Here is a 19,880-nt window from a genome sequence, read left to right on the forward strand (position 1 = left end):
AACATTTATGAGTAGAATAGTAATATATGTGCTTCTTTATTAACATATTAAGTAAGATTTTGTGGCAGTTCTAATAACTGCTGTGATTGTGAACTATCAGTGATATTTTGAAATACTTATAACAATTGAAATGTGATAAGAATATATTTGTGATTTATATGAGTAAAAATGTCCCAGAGACTGCTAATACTTCTGTAGTTTTTACCTACATTTCAATTACAGTTAATAAAAGTAGAGATGAGTTTCTTCTTTTTTTTTTTTTGTTTGAGACGGAGTCTCACTCTGTTACCCAGGCTGGAGTGCAATGGCATGATCTCGGCTCACTGCAACCTCCACCTCCCAGGCTCAAGTGATTCTCCTGCCTCAGCTTCCCAAGTAGCTGGGATTACAGGCACCCACCACGACGCCTGGCTAATTTTTTTTGTATTTTTATTAGAGACAGGGTTTTACCATGTTGGCCAGACTGGTCTCAAACTCTTGACCTCAGGTGATCCGCCCACCTCGGCCTCCCAAAGTGCTGGGATTATAGGCATTAACCAGTGCAACTAGCCGAGATGAGTTTTTTATATCCCCCATTAAAATTCATGGAGCTCCTGAATTCTATCCCTGATCCTCTTGGGGGAATCCACTGCTCCCCAGCTAAGAACCTCTGGTTTAGATAAAAGAGGCTGTTCATTAGACTAAGTGACTCCTGGATTGAAAATCTCTGGATAGCTCTTTTCACAGTGGAACCTCATGGAACCATCAGTTTGAAGGCAAAGCTCAGGAATCTTGGGTGGCCCTGTAGGCCTTTCTAGGGATTTACAGTTCTGCAGACTTAAAGCTGCTAGGGACGGGAAAAGTGTCAGTTGACAGCAAAATCACAGGTGGCAAATTTTGTGCAATACTCATACTCTTTATTCTGAATTTTGGCAAAGACGCGTGTCCCCTACATGAGTAAGATCTGATTCATCATTTTCCCAGCCCAGAGAACACTTGGTAATTCTAATTCTGCTTTGAGGCAATGTTTACAGCTTGTTTTTATCTTTTTCTAATTATTTGATAACTGTTTCTTATGGGGGGGGGTGTGAGTCCTCTCTTTGTGATTTATTTATTTATTTTTCTGCTACCACTATAATCTTTAGAGAAATTACAATTCTTATAGAAACTACAAAGATTTTTTTTTCTCCTTTCTTTTGGGTTTTTTTCCATTAAAGAATTGAAGTCATTTGTGTTAAATTTCTAACACCTGAAGGACTTACTACTAAGATGAATGGAAAAGTATGTATTTAAATAAAAAATTCTCTGAAAAAAATCACCAAGACAAGGCCTACTCTGTAAAAGAGGGAATTTGCATGTGGATTCTTTTGAGTTGAGTGTTGGGCTCTCTGGTTTCACAGAGGCATTTCAAGTAATAGAATTCTGCAGAAAACCTAAATGGAGTGATCTGGCCTTCTATTTACAGGGTAGACCTTGAAGTTGTCCAGTCAAGACAACAGCTTACTTTGTCTGCCCCACTTTGATAGGCACTGGTGAGACTATAGATCATGATAGTTCCTGATAATAAGAAATTTCCAAGCCAATTGAAAGGTCAATTCATCTATATAAAAAACAATTGGATACTACTCCACTATAGCATTTAAGACTCAATTAAAGAGCAAAGATCATAATAGCTTTACTCAGCACTGTATGCCCAGAACACCTTGCACATACTAGTTGATCAATACATGGTGAACAAGTGAAAGAAGGTTGTTATTATAATTCAGGAAAAGGAAAAATCACTGCAGACTTCTGGTAGATGGCGAGACTTAAGGTGTGAAGGCTGTAGATTAGCCATGAGAAGGAGAAAGGCACTGCAGCTATAGAGAATGTGAAGCATGCAGCAATCAGATGACTGGAGTTAAGGGCTTCTCTTGGGAAACCTAGGCAGAGAAGTTTGGTTGGAGAATGTCAACGAAGAGTAAGGGAAGAACCTAGACCTTAAGCATGTCAAAGACATGATAGGAAGATTGTTCCAGGATGACACTTCTTGTAGCGTGAGATAGAACAGATTGAAGGGAGGAGAGACCAGAGGCAGCACCACCAGGATACTGTGCCAAATGAGGTGCTGAGAGTGCCACCTAGGTTGTGACAATAGGAATAAATAGAAAGTGTTTAGTTCCGGAAACATTTAGAGGCAACAAATTTCCTGGAATGGGCATGAGCTTTAGGCAGCCCTCATTTTCAACTTTAGAAAACTGAACAAGTCCCCAAAGAAGTGAGAAAAAATATTCAAATAAAAAGCTGGCAAATCATTGTTGCCAAGGACAAACAAATTACATTTTTCTCTTGGCAAGTACTTTTTTTGGAAAGAAATACTAAAAGCAATGAAGAGAGAATGACAGCAGAAACAACCAACATTTCTCTGCTTATTTACAGTTTCGAGAACATTTTTGCATACCCAAGCATATTTGAAACAATGGAAAATAGAGCAAAAACAGAGAATCATTATGAAATGTATTTTTATCATAGATAACTTAGTATACTTTTTTATATGGCAAAAAAATCAGTATCAAGTAGTATCTATTCTGAATATTCTCTCAATGGCAAGAACTAGAAGGAAGAGCCAAACAAAATTCTTATTTTGGGTCCTACTTTTCTATCTATTGCCTACTAAAGGTATAACTTCATTTGTAAAATAAATGTCCCTAAGAAGATATGCATAGCTGTCATATTACCTTCAATTTCTAAGGAGAAAAAAAGCCATTTCAATGTATGATTGAAAATAAATATGTTTTAAGTTAAAAAATAATTTGTAATGTGATATAAACTACACCCTGGGTCACACAGAGTGGATCATGCCTATAACCCCAGCACTTTGGGAAGCTGAAGCAAGAGGATTGCCTGAGGCCATGAGTTTGAGACCAGCCTGGGGAACATAGTGAGATCTTGTCTCTACAAAAGATTTTTCAAATTTAGCTGGATGTGCCCAGGAGTTTGAGGCTGCAGTGAGCTATCATCACACTATGTAGCTGGGTGTAGCCTGGGTGAAAGAGCAAGGCCCTGTCTATAAACAAAACAAAACAAAAAAATGGCTCCCAAATCATCTACTTTGTAAGTTCAGATTTTCACCAATGATTTATGGATTTTATAATACTCTTTTTCTATGTTTATGTACATACATACATGTACATATATTCATATATATACACATACACACATATACACACACACTTATATATCATAGTACAGAATGCCTAAAGAAAGAACTGAGTGGTATTCAATATTACAGGACTGGAGGATCTTAAGTAATTCCTGAAACAGTGTTAGAGAAACCTCAGGGACCTCCCACAGTGGTCACTGGAGCCAGCTTGCACAGCTCATGGGAGTTGATTGTTAGCATCTCTTCCCAACTCCACATTCAATGACATTGTGTTGATAGCTTAAAATCGGCCACAGTGGAATTATTTACACCACAGAAATCAGTAAACACTAGGAATTGGTGCTTCTCCTCACCCTTGCCACCAGCCAGTTGTTAAGCATTTACCAGAACACTGCTGTTCCTAAAATATATTCCAAGAATTACTGCTACAGAGAAGGCAGTATGCTAATGAAAAGGCATATAGAAATAAAAATGATGAAAGAGACAACTTTGAAGGACAGGAATAAAATCGGATCTAAAAATAAAAGGAGATTCTTATGATAAACTCTAAACAAATGCATTGAAGCATTAAGAATAAAAATGCCTTCCCTAGCTGAGAAAAAATATATTTTAGTGTTCAAAAGGTTTAAAATGTACCAGGAAAAATTAATTGAAGGAACACAATTAAGCTTGGAAATGTCTTTAATTTCTCAGAGAAAAGGAAAGTCTTGCAAGCATCTCTTAGCAGGAAAAAATAGGTTACCAACAAAGGAACAAAAAATCATGCTAGCTTCAGACTTTCTATAACCTGAAATATCAAAGTTTATGGACCAATATCTAAAACATTAGGGTTTTAAAGATAAAATACAGAACATGATTCAAGAACTATACATGAAGAGAAGTTTCTGTTTATCCTCCAAGATAATAGTCATTTTCAGAGATCAATGGCTAAACTATCTGACTCTCATGCATCTTTACTGAAAAAAGATTTTTAAAATTATATTTCCAGTTATCATCAGATGAATCAAAAGGCTAAAGAATAAGTAAGCTGTGAGAAAAAAAGACCATCAATGAATGGCCTAGAGTTAAGACTACATACTCATTATAAATATAATTACAATATTGAGTGCAAACACTACAATTCGATATTAAAAAGAAAGTTAAATGATTAGCAAAACCCACAAATAATATGTGTGTTCATACAGGGGAGTAGGTGTGCAGGGGTGTCAAGTTCAAGGGAGAAGTAGAGGGACAATTGAAGTGTATTAGATCACTGTGTACCACAGGAGTAGTCAAAAGTTATTGTTTCATCTTGACTTTGGTAATTAGATAAATGCCTGTTAAAGTATGTTTTTAAAAACATGCCAATAGCCACTAATTAGAATACACAACAGAATGTGTATGTACCTTTCGAATACCTTCAGATTATACAAGTAAACATAGTTCACAGAGCAAAAGACAGAAATACTGAGTACAGTGCAGTAACATAAAAATCAAAACATAAAACAAGATGATAAAAATAAAACCATACACTCAGTTTTTTTTTTCTTGAGACAGGGTCTTACTCTGTCACAGCACAATCATGACTCACTGCAGCCTCAACCTCTGTGCTCAAATGATCCTCCCACCTCAGCCTCCTGAGTAGCTGGGACTACAGGTGCATGCCACCACACCCAACTAATTTTTGTATTTTTTTGTAGAGATGGAGTTTTACCATGTTGCCCAGGCTGGTCTCAAACTCCTGGGCTCAAGTAGTCCGCCCACTTCAGCCTCCCAAACTGCTGGGTTACAGCAAGCCACCACGCATGGCCCATACACTCAATTTTGACAATAAATATTGATCTTTTAAACTGCTCTCTTAAAAAGGCAAAGAGAATGAATTTAAAAATAGAAGTTAGCTACATGCTACATATAAAAGATAAACCTAAAATCCCGCATCACAAAGGTTAAAAATACAGAGAAATGTAGTTATTCCACAAAAAGAACAAGCAAAAGAAAACAAAGGTTAACTATGTTGATAACAGTTAAAAACTTCAGGCTGGGCGTGTTGGCTCATACCTGTAATCCCAGCACTTTGGGAGGCCGAGGTGGGCGGATCACGAGGTCAGGAGTTCGAGACCGGCCTGGCCAACATGATGAAACCCTGTCGCTACTAAAAATACAAATATTAGCCTGGCGTGGTGGCGGGCACCTGTAATCCCAGCTACTCGGGAGGCTGAGGCAGGAGAATCCTTTCAGCCCAGGAGGCGGAGGTTGCAGTGAGCCGAGATCACTTCATTGCACTCCAGCCTGGGCAACAGGGCGAGACTCCGTCTCAAAACAAAGCGAATTCAAGGCAAAGAAACATCAACCAGCATAAAGAATATCATTTTATGTGAATAAATGCTATAATCTGTAATGAAACATGATGCTTACTAACCTTTGTTAATAAGGTTGTAAAATAACATCAAAATAAAGAGAAGCTTGATCATAATAGGCAACTAATATATCACTATTATAATGATGTATCAAGAATTTATATGTATATACACACAGAAATTTTGTTCTCTATAAGAAACTCTGGGCCGGGCACAGTGGCTCATGCCTGTAATCCCAGCACTTTGGGAGGCCGAAGTGGGTGGATCACCTGAGGTCAGGAGTTTGAGACCAGCCTGGCCAATGTGGTGAAACCCTGTCTCTACTAAAAATACAAAAATTAGCTGGGTGTTGTGGTAAGTGCCTGTAGTCCCAGCTACTTGGGAGGCTGAGGCAGGAAAATTGCTTGAACCCAGGAGGCGGAGGCTATGGTGAGCCGAGATCATACCACTGCACTCCAGCCTGGGCGACAGAGCAAGATTCCATCTCAAAAAAAATAAAAATAAAAAATAAAAGAAGCTCTGTTTTAAGCATCCACGGATGATTTTTGGAAATTAATTATAAACTAGTCTACCAAGAAATCTCAATAAATTCCAAAAAGTAGAAATAATTCAGTCCACATTTCTTGACTAGAGTGCCTAATTAAAAGCAGAAGCTCAACTGAAGAAACTTCAACTACTTAGAACCAAAAATTTTGCTCTAAATATCACTGGGTCAAGTCCAGGCATGGTGGCTCACGCCTGTAATCCCAGCACTTTGGGAGGCCAAGGTGGGTGGATCACTTGAGGTCAAGAGTTTGAGACCAGCCTGGCTAACATGATGAAACCTCGTCTCTATTAAAATTCAAAAATCAGCAGAGTGTGGTGGCAGACACCTGTAATCCTAGTTACTCAGGAGGCTGAGGCAGGAGACTTGCTTGAGCCCGCGAGGCGGAGGTTGCAGTGAGCTGAGGTCGTGCCACTGCATTCCAGCCTGGGCGACAGAGGAAGACTCTGTCTCAAAAAAAAAAAAAAATTAAATAAATAAATAAATAAACATTACTGAGTGAAAGAGGAAAGCAAATATAGAATAGTTGGTTTAGAAAGTTAAAACAATACTTATCAAGTTATACAAACTTTTCCCAAATTCTTATTTAGAAGTCATTTCATGACCATATTTTTTTTATTACTTCTAAAAGGAAAGAAATCAAATCATGCAAATGCAAAAATATAAATTAGTTCCTAGTTTAATTATTGGTTTACTGATAAGTATCTAATGACTGGCTTTCCAAAAAAAGTATGCATATAAATGTATGTGCATTTACTATAAAATTTTATATTTTACTATTTTGCGGATATAAAGGATGTGTAGCACGCAACTTACAAATGATAAAACATACCATATTCTTTACTGTTAATTCCATGTAGCCAATCAATTCTCACACAATGTTTTCATTGACTTTTGTCAATGAAACTCTTATAAATGTAGCCAGCCAACCAATGGTTGAAATTAAAGAATGATGACTGGGCGTGGTGGCTCACGCCTATAATCCCAGCACTTTGGGAGGCCGAGGCGGGCGGATCACGAGGTCAGGAGATCGAGACCATCCTGGCTAACACAGTGAAACCCCGTCTCTACTAAAAATACAAAAAAAAAAAATTAACTGGGTGTGGTGGTGGGTGCCTGTAGTCCCAGCTACTCAGGAGGCTGAGGCAGGAGAATGGCATGAACCCGGGAGGCGGAGCTTGCAGTGAGCTGAGATCGCGCCACTGCACTCCAGCCTGGGCGACAGAGCGAGACTCCGTCTCAACAAAAAAAAGAAAAAGAAAATTAAAAAAACAAAAGAAATTGAAGAATGATTACAGTTCCAATATGAATTTTTTTATTAACATTAATAAGACACAAGGTGATATATGTCAAAGAGGTATGTCCAAAATCTGCTTGTCAATGATGTGAATGCCTTCTTTCCTAAATCAAAGAATAGTTTTCAAGTATTGAGAGAATATTTCCTCAATATTTTGTGCTATTTCACAATGTCGTGGCTACAGACATGACCTACTTTTAAATTTAATTTGCTTCATTCATTGTGTTCTCTATCACTTTAAGTCTAAACAATCAACTGAACAATAAATCAAGCCCCGATTTGTAGTGTTTGATGTTTTCCGTGGTATAGAATACTTCCATATTGGCCAATTCCAAGCTATCAATGAGAGGTCACCAAACACACAGTTGGGAAAAAATGTGCAGTAGCATTTTCACCGTAGAGATACAATGGACATAAATAACTACAAGAACACAGATAAAGTAACATGCAGAAAAATGTTAGAAAGTAATGAGTTTTTAGTATTTCTTGCCTGTATAAGAATTTTAAGGCCGGGCGCGGTGGCTCACGCTTGTAATCCCAGCACTTTGGGAGGCTGAGGCAGGCGGATCACGAGGTCAGGAGTTCAAGACCAGCCTGACCAATATGGTGAAACCCCATCTCTACTAAAAATACAAAAAAACTTAGCCAGGCGTGGTGGCGGGCGCCTGTAATCCCAGCTACTCAGGAGGCTGAGGCAGGAGAATTGCTTTGAACCTGGGAGGCGGAGGTTGTAGTGAGCCAAGATTGCACCACTGTACTCCAGCCTGGGTGACAGAGCAAGATGCCATCTCAAAATAAATAAATAAATAAAAAGAATTTTAGATATATAAGAAGGAATCACACATGATTTGATAAAAATTTTATTCAATAAATGATGCTGAAATAATTGGTTACCTATTTAACAACATTTAAAATGTAAAACTAGGCTGGGCGCAGTGGCTCACACTTGTAATCCCAGCACTTTGGGAGGCCAAGGAGGGTGGATCATCTAAGGTCAGGAGTTTGAGGCCAGCCCGACCAACATAGAGAAACCCCTCTCTACTAAAAATACAAAATTAGCCGGGTGTGGTGGCACATGCCTCTAATCCCAGCTACTTGGGAGGCTGAGGCAGGAGAATTGCTTGAACCTGGGAGGCGAAGGTTGCGGTGAGCTGAGATTGCGCCATTGCACTCCACCCTGGGCAACAAGAGCAAAACTCCGTCTCAAAAAAAAAAAAAAAAAAGTAAAACTATGCTTAGCTTAGGTACTGCAAAAAAACAGGCCTTGGGCCACATGGATTGTAGTTTGCTGACCCCTGATTTAGATCATCACTTCATTCATCTATCAAGATTAATTCTAGATTGATTATATATTTAAGTAAAAATACATGAACACACTAAAATAAGCAAATGTATATTAAATGCCTGGCAGGAGGAAGACTGTGTGTAAGAGCATCAGAAGAAATTTCAAAGGGAAAGCTTTATAGATTTGACTAAAAATGTGACAGCTTAATTAGTGGGATAAATAGAAAATATGGTGCCACTTCTTAGGCTGGTACATTTGCAGAAAATGGTTAGAGTCAGAAGATAAAGAAAATTATCACCGAGAATTTTCTGTGTAAGCTTTTCTTTTTTTTTTTTTTTTTTGAGATGGGGTCTCGCTCTGTCGCCCAGGCTGGAGTGCAGTGGCGCAATCTTGGCTCACTGCAAGCTCCGCCTCCTGGGTTCATGCCATTCTCCTGCCTCAGCCTCCGAGTAGCTGGGACTACAGGCACCCACCACCGCACCCGGCTAATTTTTTCTATTTTTTAGTAGAGACGGGGTTTCACCATGGTCTCAATCTCCTGACCTCATGATCCACCCGCCCCGGCCTCCCAAAGTGCTGGGATTACAGGCGTGAGCCACCGTGCCCGGCCTGTGTAAGCTTTTCTAAATGTCTCATCACCGTTATTTTTCAAAGGAGCTTAAAAAAGCTATATTCTCAAAAATAGTTCATTCTTTCACAATAGTTTGAGAAATGTTTTCCCAAAGTCAAATTTGAATCTCTCCTAGTGTGATCATATACCCTTCCTAACTGGCCTTTCTGTAATGAAAATAAAGAATAATTGGGCCAGGCATGGTGGCTCATGCCAGCACTTTGGGAGGCCCAAGTGGGCAGATCATTTGAGCCCAGGAGTTTCAGACCAGCCTGGGCAACATGGTGAAACCCCATCTCTACAGAAAAATACAAAAACTAGCTGGGCATGGTGGCATGCTCCTGTAGTCCCAGCTACTCAGGAGGCTGAGGCGGGAGGATTGTTTGAAGCCAGGAGATTGAGGCTGCCGTAAGCCATGATTGTACCATTGCATTGCAGCCTGGGTGACAGAGTAAGACCCTGTTTGAAAACAAACTAAAAAGAAAAATTTTTGATAAATTTGAATATTCTGTCAATTCTTTTGTTATTCTGTCCCTTCTCCTCCAAAAAAGAGAAGCAATATTCACGTCCAATGTTGTCAACACTCCATAAACGGTCAAAAAACAAGCAGTGTCAAGCTCCCTAGAGGTGGTGGGAGTCTCAACAGGTAGCCAGAGCATGGGAACAGGGATCTGGGACAAAAGTGCTCAAAGTTGGTAATCAGGATGTTGGCATTCTATTATAAAGAGGTCCGCTGGGTGTGGTGGCTCACGCCTGTAATTCCAGCGCTTTGGGAGGCCCAGGCGGGCAGATCACCTGAAGTCAGGAGTTTGAGACCAGCCTGACCAACATGGAGAAACCCCATCTCTACTAAAAATACAAAAATAGCCAGGCGTGGTGGTGGGCACCTGTAATCCCAACTACTCAGGAGGCTGACGCATGAGAATCGCTTGGACCCGGGAGGCGTAGGTTGCCATGAGCTAAGATCATGCCACTGCACTGCAGCCTGGGCGACAGAGCAAGACTCTGTCTCAAAAAAAAAAAAAAAAAAAGGTCCCAGACACCAGACTGGAATGTAAGGGCCAGAAAGCTTGAATGCCCAGAATGGGGGACCAGAAAGAAGCAGGCAAAGTCTAACTCAAGCTACTGGGCACATTGCTGTAAGAGTCACAAAAATGCTAGCCAAGGCAGACCAGTTCAGGCACCAGCTTAGGGACTTGAAAGCAGCAGACCCCTTATCAGAAAAGCAGTGCCACAGTGGTGGGGTGTTGATAAAGGGAGCACTGCCCTTGCAGAATGCTAGAGCAAGCCAGAGACTTTGGGAGCATAATTTTTTTCAGTGTCATACAAATAACACAAACATTACCTCGGCAGGAGTCGCATCGTCCTGTTGGTGATAGTTGTGTTAGACAGATTGAGACACAGGACCCCCGGGCAGCCCTCAGAAATGTGTCTCATTGATTCATCCTGCATGAAAAACAGAGGGAAGAGGCTTATCAAATTATAGCAGGCTTTGCAATTTCCCCATTATCTTTCTATTATCCCTCTTCCTGTTCCAGAAAAAAATACATGTAAGAGTTGGTTTCTTCATATTCTTTATCTACTATTAGGTTGAAATGAAATTAAATAGAAGCCAATGCTTTTGCTCAAAGCATCATTACTCCCTCCTTTTCCCTTTCCTTGGAAATCAAGTCTCATTCCATCACAATGACACTTCATTAAAATGTGAACCCATGCAAGTTCAACTCTGTCACACGAAATTTGAGCTCACATGTCAAAGTGCCAAACACTTCTGACTCTTCATATGCAGGAAAGCAATTAAAAACTGATCCATTTTAAACTTATTAAAATTATTCTGAAAGGCATACTAAACACTCTCAACAATGGAACTTTAGTAACAGTCCATATTTATACACATATACATTTATACATAGATGTGTGTGTATAATTAAGCTTCTGTGGTTCTGTTAACTAAATATTTTAAATAGCTGAACAGATTTTCACCAGATTTATGGTAAGTTTGAGATGGCTAAAATAAAATAGAGGCTACATACCAGTTGGGCAGGAGATTCAATGCTGGGAGTAGGGTGGGGGAGGATCTCAAAGATTCAAGCATCCTTCCCCCAGAAAGCTGAAAACTGAAGTAAGAGAGTAGTGGGACCATGAAATAAGAGAGACAGAAAAACAGAGGTTTCAAGCACAGATTCTAAGTTGAAATTTACAAGACCAGATGAATTGCAAGCTTTGACTGCAACAAGCTGCTTTTTGTATAGGTAACACTATATAAAATACAACGAGTAGCAGCAGGTTTTTATTTAATGATTGATGAATCTCCCCAGGAACATCAACAGGGCAGCCAGTTTAAGTATTAGTGGTGCATGCAATGTTTGACGCTACATCAGTCCCAGAAAGAATAGACCACTGCAGGTATCTATCTGTCTGGAAGAGGTAAATCATTACTAGGCTAGAAGATGTGGTTCTGAGAAGAATTCTGCATCAGAAATATGACCACTCCTAACACCACTAAAGATAGTAAAGGCTTATTTTCAACAGGATCATTGAGGTTTAACATTCCATTCATTACTATTTCCAGTAGTCATGGATTTTTAAAACAATAAAATCCTGCAGGTCAGAGCATCTGTCACACTCAGATAGGAATTGGTTGATTTACAGGGGCAGCAAACCACACCTTAAAGAGAACACAAGATTCTATTTGAAGCTGTAAATCTCTGTGATTCTGCTATAGGGAAGGTTCTATGCACCCATGCTGCATGAGAGGCCAGTGCAGAGCTTTTGATAAACACTACTCTTAACTACAGTATTCAAGCTGTCAGCATTTTTTCTAGATGCCCCATCACCAAAATGAAGGATTTGAATAGGTATGGATAGATAAAATGTGTACAATTTTTCCAAAAAGAATCTAGAGAATAACCACGTGTGGCACTGTATTTCAACACAATGAAAATCTGTCTTTGAAAACGTTTGGCATGCCAATCAAGTATCAAAGTGATTATACACTTGTTGAAAGACCTTGGCAAAATGCAAATGAGATGGGGCAAGGAAAGGAGAAAGAGCTCACTTAAACACCCTCAGAGAGGCAGCCACAAAGATGAAAATGTGGGGACCAGGAAGAGGAAGGTGGAGTAGCTTTATGTATCATAAAGAAATCTGACTTTCTGTTTGAGATGAGGAGGCAATCCATTCTTTGCATTTTCCTGTCTAAAGAAGCTTGGACATCCAAACAAAATTAGACCACTCCCATTCTCAGATTGAGATGAGGAGGTAATGCATTCTCTACATTTTCCTGTCTAAAGAAGCTTGAACATCCAAACAAATTTAGACCACTCCCATTCTTAGTACTTAAAAGAACTCAAGATTTAATCCCCAAATGTTTGAACACATAAATGCAAAAACTGAGTACCTACATTGCAGAATGACTTATGAATTTGTCCACAATGTACTCAAATCTTTCTGAATGTAATATATTTCATAGGATAAGCTTAGAAATCAAAGCTCTTCGAATGAGTGTTACCCAACTCCTTAAATGTAAGCCTGTGTCCCAGTCTACGTCTCAAAGGGAAAAACAATAGTAAAATGTAGCTGGATAAAATTATCAGCCCTGTATATTATTAGACTCCAAAATCGGACAAGACTTTGATGTTCACAAATTCAATGCATTGTTTTGACTTCCCTATTAGAGGGCCAAACTCAAAGAATATGATATCTTACTCAAGTACACAACTGAAGCTCCCTGAGGACAAGAACTGAAAAATGATTAGTTTTTTAATTCCCTCCAACACCTAGCAGAACACATTTAACATAGTAGGTGCTAAAACATCCACAGAAAGAGTAAATCCATTTGACAAACAACTTCATTATAATGACAGGCAGACATCTGGAGAATGTAGTAGTCAAGATTTAAAATCCTTCTTCATGAAGGAGCCCACGTTCACTTTGCTAGTGGAGAAAGAGTGCAACCAGAGAAAGCAGAACATTTTTTTCTCTGATGTGATATTTGACATGTCTGTCTATGCCTCCATTTCTTGCGGATGACCCTGAAGGGTACTTTTGAACATAAAGGAACAGCTTATTTATGTTAAAGTACAAGCCACTGAGAAGATGCTTAGTTTACAGTCTATGGTGGTTCTTTATGTTCTGCTGGACAGGGATTAAACAACTAATTTAAATGCTGACTCTGTGTGTTGAGGTAAGGAGTGGAGGAGTTCTGAGGGTCTTAACATTCTTCTGTACACATTCTATTTGTGTATAATGCCTTCCATGTTTTGAAAAGATGTTTTACTGTGGAAATGGGATGGATTTCATGGGGAAAAATTACTAAAGGAGGATTTTCAAAGTGCTCAGTTCTAAAACGGGAGATACATATGTAAACATAAGTGTAATACAGTGTGAAGTATCTGTGTTGAAGTACTGAGACCATATGTAGCTCAGAAGAGGGAGAAATTAATTCTGTCAGCTGGGTGCGGTGTCTCACGCCTGTAATCCCAGCACTTTGGGAGGCCGAGGCGGGTGGATCACTTGAGCTCAGGAGTTCGAGACCAGCCTGTCCAACATGGTGAAACCCCATCTCTACAAAAAAAATTCAAAAATTAGCCAGGTGCAGTGGCACGTGCCTATAATCCCAGCTAATTGGGTGGCTGAGGCAGGAGAATCACTTGAACCTGGGAGGTGGAGGTTGTAGTGAGCCACGATGGCACCACTGCACTCCAGCCTGGGCAACAGAGTGAGACTCCATCTCAAAAAAAAAAAAAAAAAAAAATTAATTAAGTTAGAAATTAACTGTCAAAAAGTGAACAGAATTGCATAGGGCCGGGGGTTGAGAGAAAATGAAGGGTGACTGTTGATGGGCATGGGTTCTGTTAGGGGTGAGGGAAATGTTCTGAAGTTGGTTGTGGTGATGGTCAAACAACTCTGTAAAAATACCAAAACCATGAAATTGTACACTTTAAGTGGGTAAATTTAATCTCAATATAAATATAAATTTATTATATCTCAATAAAGCTGTTTATTAAAGGTCAATAAACAAAGAGAATGGAAAGACCCGATAGCATTGAAGAGTGTGTTAAAGAATGAACAGGTGTTAGCCAGTTTGGGCTAGGGGTGGTGGGGAGGGAAGGGTAGTCATTTAGGCAGATGGAAAAACAAGTTCAAAGACACAATGAAATAGCATGACATGAACAGGGAACTTCAAGTGGTTCAGTATTGAAATAGAGTAGAATTTTGAAAGAAAAAACTAGAAAGATGAGGCTGTAAAAATGAGGCTGAGAGGTAGCAGGGAGGGGCCAATTCATGCAGTCTTTTCACCAGCGAGGAGGGCTTGGCCTTCATGGTGGAGCTGGTGCCTCATGATTGGCATTCCACAGCCAGGCTTTTCCTCCTATTCCCTCCTATCTCGTTAGGGACTTACTCCATGAGTTGCTTCAGCTGACTCTCCATCATCCTCTATAAACCTGTTTCCATTTCCCTGCCCCTGTTTTCCTTCTACCACTCTCTAAGACACTTTTCTGGAAAGATCAGTTTATGCCTAATGCCTCACCTTCTGACCTCTTCTCCACTTCACAATTCATTGCAAGTAGATTTCTGCTCCAATATCCCACTGAAACTGTTGAAGCAATAATTGGCAGTCCCTTCTGATTCTCAAATCTACAATGCATTGTTCAGTCCTTTTCTTACCTGTTCACTTTGGTTCTTTCTGAAACTCTTTACTCACTTTCATTTTGTGATACCTCTTCATTGTCAACCTACTTCTCTTACTATTCCTTCTGAATATCCTCTGTTCCTAAAAGTCAGCATTCCGTAAGGCTCAACTTTAAGTCTGCTCCTCTTCTCAAACCTTCTAAGTTGATCTTATTCACGCTTATGATGTTAATTATGACTTATACATAGATGTCAACCCAAGATGGAATCTCAATTCTAGTCAATGTTGTCCATTGCCTACTTGGTATCTCCAGATAGTTGCATTCACTAAATATTATTGAATATAATATGCCAAAGTTCGTGCTGTTGTGCTATGACTACCACAAAGAACAAGACACATCTCCTGCCCTTTGGGTCTCTTAGGCTAGTGAAGGAAGCCAAAACCCTATGGTTAAGGATACTTATCATAGGAACCTAGAGGAGCAGCAGTGAACCCAGCCCTGGGAGCCAGTGATGTCTTGGTAGAAGAGGTGATAATAAGACTTAAAGCTTGATAAAGAGGAAAGCACCACTTGGGGACAAAGGGAAAGGGCATTTTAAGCAAAGAGCAAATGCACAACTGCAAGGAGCAACTTGGAGCATGCAGGAAAAGGAAACTCAGCAGCTGTAGGCACTGCAAATTAGTGTGTACACAGAAACTGAAACAAGTGAGGCTGGAAAGGGAGGCAGAGGCAAAACCACAGAGGGTCTTCAAGGTAGAGTAATATTAAAGAGCTTTGGCTTTATCCAACTGTGTAGATGACGGCAGTGTGTGTAGCTGGTGGAAGATGAGAGTGAAGTAGTCATATCTGCCTTTTACAAAGAGTATAAAGTGCTCACAGAATGGAAGACAGGTTGGGGACAGAGGGAAAGACTGGAGACAGGAACCAGGAAGAAAGCAACTAGGGAAACATATTCATTTCCATCTTCTTTGGCACAGCTGTTGATAGCCATGAAGATAAAATGAGCCTATCATGTCTACTGGGGCCCAATTTTTTTCTGTCTCATACACACATACCATTAAATATAAATACAGTTCATTTTGGGTAGTCATTGAAGAATTTCTACTTGCCAGAGGCTCCAACACTGAGCATACATCTACATGATTAATATTAGCGTTGTGCAGATGGAGTAAAATTTCTTGTCAATGTTTAACATAGTTTGCTCTTTTCCACATTGAATCCCAAATAAGCACACAAGCATCTATTCTGCATATTGGCACCCCAATGTAGCAAGTCAATCTATATAAACAGCAGTAAAAATGGTTGCTTATACTCACTGTGAATGTTGGGCAGTCAGAGACATTCAACTCTTGCAAGTTCCTACAGTGGCCTAAATCAAATAAGTTACACGTCACTAAACTACATATTGCAAATGTTTAAACAAAGTTTTTCTATCTTACATTGAATGCAATGTATTCATTAGAAAACAAACAAAAACCTTGGCAAGTAACATGTTCTAAGTATATGGTTTCTTTCCCCAGAAAAATGGCTTTTTTGGGCTTCAGAATTAAAATACACAGACATGTTTATTATTGTTTGAGGATTATAGGAGTAAGGGGAAAAGAGAAAAATATTACTTTGGGAAAAACACTATATACTTAGAGCTTTTAGCTTGAAAGCACTTGAAGAAAACCAACCTGGTTTTTTGTGCCTGCTTTTTTATTTTTTTGTTTTCATTTAACATTTTATTATGAACATTTTCAAACATACACAAAAGTGGAAAGAATTGTACAATAAATATCTATATAGCCACTACTTGGATTCTAATTTATCTTTTACTGTATTTGCTTTATCACATATCCACCCACTCATTCATCTCTATCTATAGCCCTCAATCATCTTATTTTTGTATGCATTTCAAAGTAAGTTGCAGACACCAGTACACTTCCCCCCAAATACTTCAACATGTATATCATAAATAATTCAGCATGTATAATAATAAACAGAATAGTTGACATACAGAATACAATAGTTATTCTGTTTGTTTGTTTCGTTTTTTTGAGACAGTTGAGACAGGATCTTGCTCTGTCAGCCACGCTAGAGTGCAGTGGCACCATGTTGGCTCACTGCAGCCTCAACCTCCCAGGCTCAGGCGATCCTTTCACTTCAGCAACCCCTACTGTCATTCCCAAGTAGCTGACACTACAGGTGCATACCACCATGCCCGGCTAATTTTTGTATTTTTTGTAGAGACGGGGTTTCCCCATGCTGCTCAGACTGGTCTCAAGAGATCTGACTGCCTCAGCCTCCCAAAGTGCTGGGATTACAGGCATGAGCCACCGCACCTGGCCAGAATAGTTATTTGAGAGTAATTCATCAGTTCAACAAATACTTATCAAGGAGATATAGCAGTTAACGAAATAGACACAAATATTTTCCCTTAAGGAGTTTACTTTCTAGCGGGGAGACACTAACAGTAAACAAAAGAAGTTAAATACCATATCTACTTTGACAGATGGTGGTAAGTGCCATGGAGAAGAAAGAAGAAAAGGGATTGGGAGCACCCAACAAGTGGGAAGAAGTGTGATTTAAAATAGGGCTGAACAGGAAGTTTTCACTGAAAAGGTAACATTTGAGCCAAGACATGCAGGAGATGACAAGGACAGTGCCATTTACTCCAAGCATCTCTGGAGCCCACACCCAACATGGTTGGTGACTGGGAGACAGAAAAGGATAGAAAAAAAAAAGGCTCAGGAAGACAACAATTCAAGTCCTACCCTTGTGTGTGCATCTCAAGGCTGTGTTCTTTTAAAGAAGGAGAATTCTTTGAATTTCTTAAATCCGATGTGATGGTGAACTGCAGGCTTCGGTTTTCATCATGCTGAGTCCTAACATTTGTGACTACTTCCCCCGGGGTGGCCATGTGAAGCATCTTATGCGCATGAGCCTATTTTATCCTCCCAACAATATTAGGAGGTATCCTCGGTCCGTTTTACAGATGCTGAAGATGACCCAGGTTGATACAGTTAAGCAGGTAAGAGAGCCTTGATTCAAACTCAGGGCACAAACATTTGGCCTCTAACCCAGGCAACTAAGAGGGGAAGGAGCTTTCTACGTCACTGTTCTGTGGAACTAGAAGGCCTTTGCCTTAAAAAGTCTGTTCTTATCTGTCAGTAATACAGTGCTTGCAATGGGCCTTAATTTTTAATATATATTTTTTTCTCTTCCAGCCTAGGGACTCCACGTACCCCAGCTGGGTCTCATTGTTCCAGAACTGCATTAGTTAAGATTACCCAGACTTGGATTTCAAAGGAATACTTTCATTGTTCCGTCTGTAACACGAAGTAATTGGGGCCAGCTGGATGTCAGGATGCGTGTGGTTACCATTGTAATCTTGCTCTGCTTTTGCAAAGCGGCTGAGCTGCGCAAAGCAAGCCCAGGCAGTGTGAGAAGCCGAGTGAATCATGGCCGGGCGGGTGGAGGCCGGAGAGGCTCCAACCCGGTCAAACGCTACGCACCAGGCCTCCCGTGTGACGTGTACACATATCTCCATGAGAAATACTTAGATTGTCAAGAAAGAAAATTAGTTTATGTGCTGCCTGGTTGGCCTCAGGATTTGCTGCACATGCTGCTAGCAAGAAACAAGATCCGCACATTGAAGAACAACATGTTTTCCAAGTTTAAAAAGCTGAAAAGCCTGGATCTGCAGCAGAATGAGATCTCTAAAATTGAGAGTGAGGCGTTCTTTGGTTTAAACAAACTCACCACCCTCTTACTGCAGCACAACCAGATCAAAGTCTTGACGGAGGAAGTGTTCATTTACACACCTCTCTTGAGCTACCTGCGTCTTTATGACAACCCCTGGCACTGTACTTGTGAGATAGAAACGCTTATTTCAATGTTGCAGATTCCCAGGAACCGGAATTTGGGGAACTACGCCAAGTGTGAAAGTCCACAAGAACAAAAAAATAAAAAACTGCGGCAGATAAAATCTGAACAGTTGTGTAATGAAGAAGAAAAGGAACAATTGGACCCGAAACCCCAAGTGTCAGGGAGACCCCCAGTCATCAAGCCTGAGGTGGACTCAACTTTTTGCCACAATTATGTGTTTCCCATACAAACACTGGACTGCAAAAGGAAAGGTTTGTACTTTTCTTACTTTTTCATTTTCATGAATAACTTGAAATGCTCTTTGAATCTTATAATCCTCCCTACATCCCACCATGTCTTGGAATTCGTGATGTCACTTCCACCAGAAATCCTTCCCTATTGACAATGGAATTTACCACAAGTTTTTCTGGGGTCCAGACTCAAGGCAGTTGGTAATTAAAGGACAATGACAGGAGGGAAGGAGGTATCCTCAGGAGGGCAGCCATTTGGGTTCTACTCATTTGCACATCGCAAGCTGTCACTGTAAGGAATTCCTTTCATCTTAACTCCAATTTAATTTAGGTAGGTAAACCAAGGGGTATGAAAATAAGTGCAAATGCCATCTATATAACCTGACTTACACCGATTAAAGCCAAAACATGGTGTGCATCTGTGAGAAGATCACCTCAAAGAGAAAACATCTGCAGGACAGGACTGTGAGAGCACTCTGAGACAGAGTGAAAGTGATGGCCCTTCGGTATTTCTTATCATTTAGTCCCAAGGTTTTAATAAATGCTCCTATGCTCATGCTCCTTTTTTTTTTTCTTTCTTTTTTTTTTTTTTTTTTTTTTTTTTTGAGATGGACTCTCGCTCTGATGCCCAGGCTGGAGTGCAGTGGCGCAATCTTGGCTCACTGCAACCTCCACCTCCCGGGTTCGAGCACTTCTCCTGCCTCAGCCTCTCGAGTAGCTGATTTTAATAAATGCCTCTTAACATCCTATATCTTAATTATTTCCAAATTACCCAGAATAAAACAATAAAAATTTAAAGAACTAAATTTAAAATATTTAACCTGAGAACTATGAGACTAAGGAAATCTTTCTAGAATATTACCTACTTCCTGCAAATCATTACTGGGTTTTGCAACCGATGCAATCTTGTGCTAGTATTATGCAGGATTTGCACATGCAAGATAAAGTCAT

At 39.9% G+C, this 19,880-nt stretch overlaps 2 protein-coding genes across 25 annotated transcripts in view; one reads left to right on the forward strand and one right to left on the reverse strand.

Annotated features, from left to right (window-relative positions):
• The window catches only part of FBXL13 (F-box and leucine rich repeat protein 13), a 263,608-nt gene that overhangs the window by 104,547 nt on the left and 139,181 nt on the right, over positions 1-19,880 (reverse strand). For all 21 annotated transcript variants that reach the window (NR_105043.2, XR_927410.4, XM_017011850.3 and 18 more), the window contains 2 exons: positions 16,146-16,198; positions 10,539-10,639 (listed from right to left, as the gene is read on the reverse strand). Coding sequence is in view for 19 of the 21 variants with exons in the window: in XM_017011850.3 (XP_016867339.1) it covers positions 10,539-10,639; positions 16,146-16,198 (154 nt within the window). In the remaining 2 variants the exon portion in view is untranslated. The remainder of the gene's footprint in view (positions 1-10,538; positions 10,640-16,145; positions 16,199-19,880) is intronic.
• Positions 1-19,880, forward strand: part of LRRC17 (leucine rich repeat containing 17) — a 32,112-nt gene that overhangs the window by 2,736 nt on the left and 9,496 nt on the right. For 2 of the 4 annotated variants that reach the window (XM_047419717.1, XM_005250108.2), the window contains exons 2-3: positions 17,324-17,842; positions 18,039-18,950. In XM_047419717.1, coding sequence (XP_047275673.1) covers positions 18,179-18,950 — 772 coding nt within the window. In that variant the 5' untranslated portion in view covers positions 17,324-17,842; positions 18,039-18,178. The remainder of the gene's footprint in view (positions 1-17,323; positions 17,843-18,038; positions 18,951-19,880) is intronic. The other 2 variants (NM_005824.3, NM_001031692.3) reach the window with 1 other exon arrangement.

This window comes from Homo sapiens, chromosome 7 (genome assembly GCF_000001405.40).
Source record: "Homo sapiens chromosome 7, GRCh38.p14 Primary Assembly".
Taxonomy (NCBI): Eukaryota; Metazoa; Chordata; class Mammalia; order Primates; family Hominidae; genus Homo; species Homo sapiens.